This window comes from Homo sapiens, chromosome 9, assembly GCF_000001405.40.
Source record: "Homo sapiens chromosome 9, GRCh38.p14 Primary Assembly".
NCBI lineage: Eukaryota > Metazoa > Chordata > Mammalia > Primates > Hominidae > Homo > Homo sapiens.
Window position 1 is genome coordinate 19,207,195 of NC_000009.12, and position 12,388 is coordinate 19,219,582.

Below are 12,388 nucleotides of genomic sequence, written 5' to 3' on the forward strand. Positions count from 1 at the left end.
GAGCCACTGTGCCCGGCATAGTTTCTGAAATGCTTTTAGAAATGCTACTTATAGCAGCATTAGCTGTAAAAAAGGCCCTGTATGTGAGTCCTGCCATGGGAGGCTTGGGCAAATACTGGGGAAACAGGAAGTTTATCTTTGGCCCTTTCAGGATTAAAAAAAAGAAAAATTTGAGTGTAATATTTGATACATACAAAAGAATGTGTTGTTAAATATAATAGAATAAACACTCTGCTTAAGAACAAGAACATTATCAATATGAGGATTTACTTCCTTTTGGGATCTTATGCGAATTTCTGAAAAGGTCTGGGTTCTAGCTGCCTAGCATTAACATAAAAGGTTTGAGAAATATACATTCAATAAGCTGCTATCTGATAATGGCTTTAGATTTTTCTCATCTTTGAGTGTATAATTTTTTTTTAGTTTTATTTTGTAGAGGCAGAGTCGTGCTATGTTGCCCAGGCTTGTATCAAACTCCTGGCCTTAAGCAATCAGCCTCCTAAAGTGTTGGGATTACAGGTGTGAGCCACCACACCTGGCCTCATAAAAATTGCTATAGCATTTTTTTTCTGATAATAGAAGTGTATATCTTTCCTGTAGAAAAATTTTAAAATAGGTTAAAGTATGAAGAATATAAAAATAACCATTATATCCATTCTCTCCAGAAAATTATTGTTAACCTTTTAAAACACACACACACACACACACACACACACACACACACACACACACACACGAATACATTTTAATAGCTAGCTTGAGTTCCTTTCAAGACAAAAAGATATGAATATTTCTTGTGGAATTTCAGGCACTGTTGCAAGCTGGCGGGAAATCTATCTGGGGTAAAAATCTTCTCAAATTGTAGCAAAGTATTTGCATTTCCAGAAAGACAGCATTATATTGATATTCCCAAATAGTCAGATATTAAGTAACTCAAACAGCTCTGGGCCCATGATATCAGTGTTAATAATTTGACATTAGGTGGGCGCGGTGGCTCATGCCTGTAATCCCAGCACTTTGGGAGGCTGAGGTGGGTGGATCACCTGAGGTCAGGAGTTCGAGATCAGCCTGGCCAACATGGTGAAACCCCGTCTCCAATAAAATACAAAAATTAGCCGGAGGTGGTGGCGCATGCTTGTAATACCAGCTACCCAGGAGGCTGAGGCAGGAGAAATGCTTGAACCTGGGAGGTGGAGGTTGCAGTGAGCTGAGACCACACCATTGCACTCCAGCCTCGGCAACAAGAGTGAAACTCCATCTCAAAAAAAAAAAAAAAAGAAAAGAAAATTGACATTGTAATTCAAACAAGTTGGCATCAAATTCATATACTCACAATAAGGTTTTATAAGAGCATTTAGGCAACTTCATGTTAAGTAAGCATATGCCTGGTGCCTTGTGCATTCATATGTCTGCAGATGAACATGTACCTGGACTAATGGGTGGTGACACAATCAGGAAAGGTGAACAGTGAGACACCAGAACAGAACTAGGATACAGAAAAACCTTAGTGCCTCCTGCTAAACTAGTGGTGAACCAGACAAAACTGTGCAGGCAATTGTCTGTACCTGGGGAGCAAATGAGGAGATGAGCATTCAACGAAAGGCAGATTTCAAGTGTGTATCACAGGAATGTCTTTTCTTAGTTCAGCAATGACAACTAGTCTAGCAGGTTCTTCCTGCCTTGTTGGGGGAAAAGCCTGTACAAACAGATAACTCTTGCATAATGTCTTTTGGATTAACAAATTTATGTTTTTGTGTGAGGACCCTTCACCTAAGAAGAGATCATATCAAGAGACTAAGAAAGATGCTTTTCTACCTGAGGTAATATTTCCCCTGTAGTTTTAGTCTCTAGGGCTTAAGAAATAACATCTGTTTACAAGGTTTGTGGGTGGAGCTTGGGGGTGTCAAGTTCAGGAATTTTGAATTAGATACAAGCCCAGGATGGAACAAGAATTTAAAAAAACATGCCAAAGATAGGATCCAAAATATGTAGAACCAAATAAACTAAAATCAGAATCCAAAGCTAAGTTCACAAATCACATTGTCAAGACGGAAAAGATAAATAGTAAGATTCAGAATACAAACGGAGTACAGGAAGACTGGTTTCAAATAGCGAAGCTTCTGTATATTTTTCTAAAGAGGGTTAAAAATGTAGACAGTCACCTTTGTGAGTGGATCTGGCAAAGCTGGATGAGAGATGAAGTAACTTCATCCCTCATTTGGCCAAAGGTTCATATCTGGCAGCCAACCCTGATACCTGACTACATAGTATGTTATGGATTAAATCAGCCAGTACAGGTATTTAATAAACAATGTTAAGCAAATAAATTAGTACACCTTACATTTGTTTAAATCGTTATATTGAGAAGGAGTTCCTGATAATTAATTTTTAGTTATAACATTTGTAGGTAGAAATGATTGTGTGCTCACTTGGAAGAAGTGAGACAGAGTCTTGCTCTGTCGCCCAGGCTGGAGTGCAGTGGCATGATCTTGTCTCACTGCAACCTCTGCCTCCCGGGTTCAAGCGATTCTCCTGCCTCAGCCTCCCAAGTAGCTGGGACTACAGACACGTGCCACCACGCCTGGCTAATTTTTTGTATTTTTAGTAGAGAGGGGGTTTCACCGTGTCAGCCAGGATGGTCTTGATCTCCTGACCTTGTGATCTGCCCGCCTTAGCCTCCCAAAGTGCTGGGATTACAGACATGAGCCACTGTGCCCTGACATATAATTCTTAATAGTCCCCACACTTCATGCCAATGTAGTCTCAAAATTCTTCTGGTAGCATGAACTCTATAAGGATTTTCTTCATCATAATCAAGTTCAGACTATTCTCTTGCTACACAAAGTGACTTCAAGAGTTTATTTAGATTTAGTTTTCCTAATTTCCCACCTTGATCAGCTAAAGGGTTTTTAAATCAGTTTCCTCTCATTGCTTTGTTCTCTTTCCACTTGGCTTTAGAATAAAGAGATGATAGTCACAAAAACACATCCTTAGGTTGACAGAGTAAGTTCCAGATCCACAGGGAATCATTTGCTATTCTTCTTTTAAAAAGAGCAAACTCCCTTACCAGTAGAAATCCAGCTGTTCTTTATTTGCTTTTGTTTCCTTCAGAATCTATTTCTGATAGACTATCTTATTTTTTAATTTATTCCAAAACATAGTCTTCATTTAAACATTTTATAGCTTTCACTAGATAACTGTAATATGTGTACACTGAATACGTGTACACAGTTAAGCAAACTGAAGACCTCATCAGCCTTTGTGGTGTTTTTTCTACACACGTGTATGCATATGAATATTCACACAAATTTAAAAAGTGACCTTCTGGTGCATATATATGTGTGTGTGTGTATGTGTACACATATATTTGTGTGTATATGTACGTATATATATATGTGTGTGTGGGTGTATAATTTTTTAGAAGAGGTTGCCCAGGCTGGAGTGCAGTGGCACAATCTTGGCTCACCACAACCTCCACCTCCCAGGCTCAAGCCATTCTCTCGCCTCAGCTTCCCAAATAGCTGGGACTGCAGGCAGGCACCATTATGTCCGGCTAATTTTTGTATTTTTTGGGGGTAGAGACAGGGTTTCACCGCGTTGCCCAGGTTGGTCTGGAACTCCTGAGCTCAAATGATCTGTCTACCTCAGCCTCACAAAATATTGGGATTACAGGTGCGAGTCACTATGCCCAGCCTGGTTGCTGAGTTTTGATTGGCTGACATAGGTCACGGCCAAAGGGTTGATTCAGGTGGCATTAACAGGAACATTAAAGTCCCAAAGTTAAGTAGATGTGTGGGTTTTCCCGGAACTCAGAGTACATGTGTCACCCAAGTTTAAGTGCAGTGGTGCAATTATGGCTCACTGCAGCCTCAACCTCCTGGGCTCAAGCAATCCTCCCCATTCAGCCATCCGAGTAGCTGGGACTACAGCTGTGTGCCACCATGCCTAGATAATTTTTAAATTTTTTGGCCAGGCATGGTGGCTTATGCCTGTAATCCTAGCACTTTGGAAGGCTGAGGCGGGTGGATCACCTGAGGTTAGGAGTTCGAGACCAGCCTGGCCAACATGGTGAAACCCCATCTCTACTAAAAATACAAAAAATTAGCCGGGCGTGGTGGCGGGTGTCTGTAATCCCAGCTACTTGGGAGGCTGAGGCAGGAGAATCACTTGAACCCGGGAGGCGGAGGTTGCAGTGAGCCGAGGCTGCGCCACTGCTACTCCAGCCTGGGCAATAAGAGTGAAACTCCGTCTCTAAATAAATAAATAAATAAATATTTTGTAGAGATGGTGTCTCACTATGGGCTGGTCTCCAACTCCTAAGCCCAAGTGATCCTCCAGCCTTGGCCTCCCCAAGTGCTGGGATAACAGGTGTGAGCCACTGCACCCAGCCCTATTCATTTTTAAATATAAATTACAACTAATAATATTTCTAATTAAAATAAGGGGTAACAATTCTAGGTGTACTAACTTTGGGGTAGATGAGGTCACTAGAGGTCAGCTGCTAGAATCCCTGCTTTTTAAAAAATTTTATTTTTGAGATGGAACTCTGTGAGACAGAACTCCTGGCCTCAAGTGATCTATCTGCCTCGGTTTCCCAAAGTGCTGGGATTACAGGCATTAGCAACCACCCCCGGCTCCCTGGCAGTTTCTTCTGCCAGTATTTAGTCACTTCATATAAGAATGTTCCTTCTTAGAAGAGCAATATTGATAATGTGCCAGGGCTCTAGAGTCAGACCTGGGATCACATTTAGGCTGAAGGTTGCTGTGGACTTGAGCAAATTACTTATTCTCTGAATTCCAAATTCCTTATCTATAGAGAAAATAATAATACCTATCTCACAGGGTTCTTGTGAGTCTTAACTGAATCAATAGCTATAATCCTGGCAGCTATTATAATTATTATTGTTTATCAAATTTTCATTCATGTATAAAGCAACACAGTGCCAAAATCCAAAAAAAGTTGCCCTCAATGAAAATATTCTGGGCCGGGCGCGGTGGCTCACGCTTGTAATCCCAGCACTTTGGGAGGCCGAGGCGGGTGGATCACGAGGTCAGGAGTTGAAGACCAGCTTGGCCAAGATGGTGAAACCCCGTCCCTACTAAAAATACAAAAAATTAGCCAGGCGTGGTGGTGGGCACTTATAATCCCAGCTACTCAGGAGGGTGAGGCAGAGAATTGCTTGAACCTGGGAGGCGGAGTTTGCAATGAACTGAGATATTAAAGTAATTCAAATTTTAATCTGTTTTGTTTTGTTTTGTTTTTTTGAGATGGAGTTACGCTCTTGTTGCCCAGGCTGGAATGCAATGGTGTGATCTCGGCTCACGGCAACCTCCCCTCCCAGGTTGAAGCCATTCTTCTGTCTCAGCCTCCCGAGTAGCTGGGATTACAGGTGCACAGCCCAGTTAATTTTTGTATTTTTTTTTTTTTTTTTTTTAGTAGAGATGGGGTTTTACCATGTTGGCCAGGTTGGTCTCGAACTGCTGACCTCAGGTGATCTGCCTGTCTCAGCCTCCCAAAGTGCTGGGGTAACAGGTGTGAGCCACTGCTCTTGGCCCCTTTTGTTTGTTTGTTTTTTGTTTTGAGATGGAGTCTTGCTCTGTCACCCAAGCTGGAGTGCAGTGGTGTGATCTCGGCTCATTGCAACCTCTGCCTCCCGGGTTCAAGCAATTCTGTTGCCTCAGCCTCCTAAGTAGCTGGGACTACAGGTGCGCGCCTACATACCTGGTTAATTTTTTTGTATTTTTAGTCAAGATGGGGTTTCACCATGTTGGCCAGGCTGGTCTCGAACTCCTGACCTCATAATCCGTCCACCTCGGCCTCCCAAAGTGCTGAGTTTACAGGTGTGAGCCACCGCCCAGCCTGGGACTTTGCTTTCATATAATTTCAATTTCTAAAACTCACTGGAATTAATATTTTTAAAACATGCATCAAGTTCAACATATAAGCAAAAATCATTCTAACACTTTTGTTTTTCACTTTAATTGAATAAAGGGAGAGCAACTGGCAGGGGAGACTTGGTAGTGGAGGGAGACAACAGGGAAGGCTGGGTATGAAATAATGTTCTGGATGGGTATATACGTAATAGTAAGGAAAAGAAAAATTCTGGCTATGAATAAAGTCTTAAGTAATCAGATAATTGGGAAGCTACCACCAATCCCAATTCCTGTCTCCAGGAACCCTCTTTATTTTATTATAGTTTTTTTTTTTTTTTTTTGAGATGGTGTTTCGCTCTTGTTGCCCAGGCTGGAGTGCAGTGGCGTGATCGTGGCTCATCACAACCCCCGCCTCCTGGGTTCAAGCAATTCTCCTGTCTCAGCCTCCCAAGTAGCTGGGATTATAGGCGCGCACCATCACACCCCGCTAATTTTGTATTTTTAGTAGAAACGGTGTTTCTCCACGTTGGTCAGGCTGGTCTCAAACTCCCGACTTCAGGTGATTCACCCTCCTTGGCCTCCCAAAGTGCTGGGATTACAGGCATGAGCCACCGCGCCCGGCTTTATGCTTTTAATTAAGTGTCTTGTAGTCCCCAAGAGTTAGGGAAGTAGTGGGAACAGACTTAGAATTTCTGAAGAAACCTGTTTTCTTTTTTTCATTTCTTAACTAATGATCCCCATTAGGAGCTATTAGTACATCAAAAGAGTATGAAAAGTGGCAATTAAACTTGGCGACTAAACACAATTTCGCTTTGACGAGCTAAAAAAACATACTTTAATAATCCTTAATGAAGGCAGCAGTAAATAAACCATTGAGAATTAACATATTCAAGCCAGTTAAGACAGAATTTGCTAATGTGCTGTTCTCTTTTACATATTAAAGGTTACTGCTGTCACAGAAGTGTTCCTATTTAATATTTAAAGCTCTGACCCAACTCAAACAACTTTCTTACATATATGGCACAGGGAAGAAATATGGAGAGTAAGAGGCCCAGAGATTTCAGACATGTTCAGGCATATCTGCAGGATTGGAGAGTTAGGGCCAGTTGGGGTCTACCTGCACTAGGGTTTCAGTAGTCCCATGGAGAGAACAATGACCAGAAACATGGAGGCTGAAGATTGTTGGAGACAACAGACTTCTAAATGCTCCTGTTAATTATTTTGTTTATTTATTTAGAGATGGGGTTTTGCTATGTTGTCCAGGCTGGACTTAAACTCCTGGGCTCAGGCAATCTTCCTGCCTCAGCTTCTGTAGTAGTTAGGACCACTGGTGCAGGCCACTGTTGCTAGCTCCTTTTACTTATGTGACTGATTCACCAACAAATAGTTATGGAATATTACTACTGCTCTAGGTAACAGGGATAGAATGGTGAATAAAATAGTTTCTGCCCTTATGGAACTTACATTGTTAGTAGGGGAGATAGGGAATAAACACATAAATAAATAATGTCAGTGACCAGAGTATGGGAAGAATTTAAAATAGGCCGAATGATAGAGAGTAATGTGCATGCTCTTTTAGACAGGGTGGAAAGGGAATCCCTACTTGGGAGGCTGAGGCAGGAGAATTGCTTGAACCCGGGAGGCGGAGGTTGCAGTGAACTGAGATCGCGCCACTGCACTCCAGCCTGGGCAACAGAGCGAGACTCTTGTCTCAGAAAAACAAAACAAAACAGTTACAGTGCCTAACACTATATTAATTCTTTTTATTCTGGCACCTCGCCGGAATGTTTGGCCAATAGGCACTCAATAAATAGTTACTGAAACTCTTTATCATAACGTACCAGTAAAACCACTGGCATCTCAGCCATAGGTAGCTGCTTCTATTTAATGTGGTTTACAAAATTGTATCACATATTTTTAAATTAAAACAGCCTTCTTTTCCTCCAATTTGAAACATGGGATTTTTTCTGCTCTAGTTTCTGGCCTGTTTCGGCTCAGGATCAGTTGGTTGAAGTCCCCTGCCACCATATAGTGGTAGTTGTCCTGTCTCTACCTGTTGCTATGTTAAAATGAAGAAAACAGCTTCCCCATTTGTGTTGAGATGTGTAATATGATTAGAATGCATAGCTTCTTTTTCCATCTCCAGTGATTCCTCTACTGATATGGTTCTACCATTTATTACATCTTTTTTTCCATAATCTCTTTCTCCCAGGGTACCTGGCACAGTTTCTCTGGATTAAGGCATAGAATGGTGTGGATGATATGCCAAAAATCTAGGAACTCTCTCTCCTCCAGGTGAGCACCTTCCCCCTCTAGTACACTGCTTAAGGTATCATTGCCTACCCTTCTTAGTTGCTCAGTGCATTTTAGTCACATCACTACCTTGCCATTCCCATCCCTCTACTTAGAATCTCTTCTCCCAGGTATCTTCTGTGGCTACTTCATTCATGTCTCTTTTCAAATGTGATCTTCTCAGAGAGGTCACATTTGAAAATAGAATAGGCCACACCCAGCCTATTTAATTTAATTCTTATAAAAACTCTAAGGCCGGGTGCAGTGGCTGATGCCTGTAATCCCAGCACTTTGGGAGGCCGAGGCGGGCGGATCACCTGAGGTCGGGAGTTTGAGACCAGCCTGACTAACATGGAGAAACTCCATCTCTACTAAAAACACAAAATTAGCTGGGTGTGGTGGCACACACCTGTAACCCCAGCACTTTGGGAGGCCGAGCCGGGTGGATCATTTGAGGTCAGGAGTTTGAGACCAGCCTGGCCAACATGGAGAAACCCCCTCTCTACTAAAAACACAAGAATTAGCTGGGCGTGGTGGCACATGCCTGTAACCCCAGCTACTCTGGAGGCTGAGGCAGGAGAATCGCTTGAACCCAGGAGGCAGAGGTTGCAGTGAACTGAGATTGCGCCACTGCACTCCAGCCTGGGCGACAGAGTGAGACTCTGTCTCATAGAAACAAAACAAAACAAAACAAAACAAAACAAAACAAAACAAAAAAACCCTCTAATAAGTCTTACAGGCCAGGCGTGGGGGCTCATGCCTGTAATCCCAGCACTCTGGGAGGCCAAGCCGGGCGTATTACCTGAGGTCAGGAGTTCCAGACTAGCCTGGCCAACATGGTGAAACCCCGTCTCTTCTAAAAATACAAAAATTAGCCAGGTGTGGTGGTGCATGCCTGTAGTCCCAGCTACTCGGGAGGCTGAGACAGGAGAACCACTTGAACCTGGGAGACAGAGGTTGCAGCGAGCTGAGATCACGCCATTGCACTCCAGTCAGGGCAACAAGAGTAAAACTCCATCTCAAAAAAAAAAAAAAAAAAAGCCTTACAATAACAGTAAAATACATCAGTTACTATTAGTACTATTATTATTTGCATTTCACAGATGCAAAGACCAAAGCTTAGAGAGATTACACAGCAAATGGTGGAGCTGGGATTTAAATACAGGCAGTTTTACTCCTAATTCATTACACAGAGTGTTACAAGTTGCTATCTTATTCTTGCTGATGTCACCCTGTTGTTCTCCAAGGTTAGTACTGTCTAATGAAGCTTGGACTAAAAATGGTTTGTTCCACTTATCTTGTATTCATTACTGTCAGTTGAAAGACGCCACTTATCAGTGTCCTTTTTGATTCTGCTTTGAGGGCAGTGGTGGAGACAGCTGATATGCATTCTGTACCTTTCTATATGTCAACCATATTCTAGCCCTTAATCCCAAGATCTCAATTGGAGAGGAGTCTTTCGAGAAGGAGGAATGGTCAGGTTGTTGGAGGAAGTTTGAACTGTGAAGTAGAATATCTAATTGAGATAGCAGCAATGCTGGCAGGAAGAGATGGAAGCCAGTGTTAGGATGGAGAGAAATGGCAGTGAGGTGATAATGAAAATGCCTAATGAATTTTGTTTGGTTTTCATTTAATCTTTCAACAATACCACAAGCTAAGTACTTAACCTGAGAGGTTAGACAAACTTGCCCAAGTCCAAGCTGGTAAATTGCAGAGCCAGAATATGAACTCACATCTGTTAGTCCATATTGTCTGAAGTGTCTGTCACAAGGTTAAACCATTATAACTGCCATTATTTGGAAAAATAAAGATATTTATGAATAATGTATATTGCCAGTTCTGCTAAACGCCACCTTGCCAGGCAGGAAAATTAATCTCACAGAAAGCAAGGTGGCTGAATTTTAGCACATAGTCTAAAACTTGGCACTTTCATATAAAGGAGAAAGTGACAAACTTTAATAAGGCACTTGGTAGGGAAAATTTTTATCTTAAGTCCAAATTTATCTCCATTACAGTTAGTATATGTGCTGCCAAAGCGAGCACATCTCCATTACAGTTGAAACCATGTTAGTGAGAAATGTGTTTGAAGAGGGCTGCTGCGCGCAGGACAAATAGAGTCCTTGAGAAACTGATTATTCTGTTTTATTATTGAGTGCTATTCCCTGCTTCTTCCAACCTTGTAATGCTCTTAAGGCACAATGTTATAGGAAAATAATTTAAAACCAAGAACTTATTCTAGGAAGGACTCCCTTTCCAACAAAGAATTGAAATAGTTTAGTTCTAGGAAGCCTAAGAATTTCCTGCATATCTATGAAATAACTATTAACACATTATTTTTCCTCAAATCAACTTTATACATAACTATTTAAACAGAAATCTCAAAATGATCAGTGATACAGGTTACACATGGCTCTCAATCAATAGGCTATTTATTTATTTATTTGAGACACAGTCTCACTGTGTCACCCAGGCTGGAGTGCAGTGGCGCAGTCTTGGCCCACTGCAACCTCCGCCTCCCGGTTCAAGCGATCCTCCCACCTCAGCTTCCCGAGTACCTGGGATTACAGGTGTGCACCACCATGCCCAGCTAATTTTTTGTATTTTTAGTAGAGATGGGGTTTTGCCATGTTGCCCAGGCTGGTCTCAACCTCCTGAGCTCAGGCAATCCACCTGCCTTGGCCTCCCAAAGTGTTAGGATTATAGGTGTGAGCCACTGTGCCTGGCCTAGGCTCTTCAGTTTATGTTACAAACTTTTTTTTTGAGATGAGGTCTGGCTCTGTCACTCAGGCTGGAGTGCAGTGGTGCAGTCTCTGCCTTCAGGGCTCAAGCCATCCTCCCAGCTCAGCCTCTTGAATAGTTGGGACTATAGGAGTATGCCAGCATGCCCAGCTAATTTTTGTATTTTTTGTAGAGATGGGGTTTTGCCATGTTGTCCAGGCTGGTCTTGAATTCCTGAGCTCAAGCAATCTGCCTGCCTCGGCCTCCCAAATTGCTGGGATTACAGCTGTGGGTCACTGTGCCCGGCAAAATTAAAACAAAAAAACTAGCCATTTTTGGGAAATGCAGGCAGTCTCTTCTTTTTTTTTGAGACAGGTCTTGCTCTGTTGCCCAGGCTGGAGTGTGGTGGTGCCATCATAGCTCACTGTAACCTCAAACTCCTGGGCTCAAGTAATCCCCCCGACTCAGCCTCCCAAAGTGCTGGGATTAGGGTATGAGCCACTGCCACTGAGCTCAGTTGTGAATATTTTTTAATGTATTTGTTTGTTAAATCTTAGAAATTTGGCTGTATTGAACAATATTTTATTTATTTGAATAATGATGACACTTCATTCCTTTTATCAAGTAACGTTTACAAACCATTTGTTCTGATCAAAATGGAAATGGCAATTTGCTGTAATTATTATTAGGAATATTTTCATCAAAATTTCCACCTTCTCTCCAGCTAATCAAATTCCACCTATGCTTCAAGAACCACTACAAATCCCACTCCTTGATGCCCTCTCAGATGACTCTAGCTCAGTGGCTCTCAAACTTATCTGTCCACTGGAATCACTTGTGAGCTTTAATAAATACTGATGTTTGTGTCCCAACCCAATAATTTGTGATTTAATTGGTATGAGATGTTGCTTCAGACTTTTTAAAAGATCCCTAAGTGACCCTAATGTGCAATGAAGTCTGAGAAACATTGCTGTAGCCTTTACTTTTTCTTACTTCCTTTACTGCATTCACAGTCAGTACCACACAATCAGTAACTGTTTTATGCTCCTTAAACTTTGTTTCTCTAATTGCTATTTAAGTTCTTTAGAGATGAGCATAACTTATGATTTTTACTCCTAGTGTGTCCAGCATGGTTGTAAACACAATCTGCCATGGCATTCTGCAAGGTAAATCAGGTAAACCTACTTAGTTAAAAAGAACATTGTGGTTTGCATTAGTTTCCTTTTGCTGCTGTAACAAATTACCAAAAGCCTAATGGCTTAAACATGAATTTATTATTTTATAGTTCAGTAAGAGAGAAGGCTGACACAGGTACCACTGGGCTAAAATCAAGGTGTCAGCAGGGCTGTGTTCCTTTCTGGAGACTATGGGGAAGAATCCACTTCCTTAGCCCTTTCCAGCTTCTACAGCATGCCTATATTCCTTGCATCATGACCTCCTCCCACCCTCAGAGCCAGCAACACTGCATCTCTCTGACCATTCTTCCACTGTCAATATCCCGCTG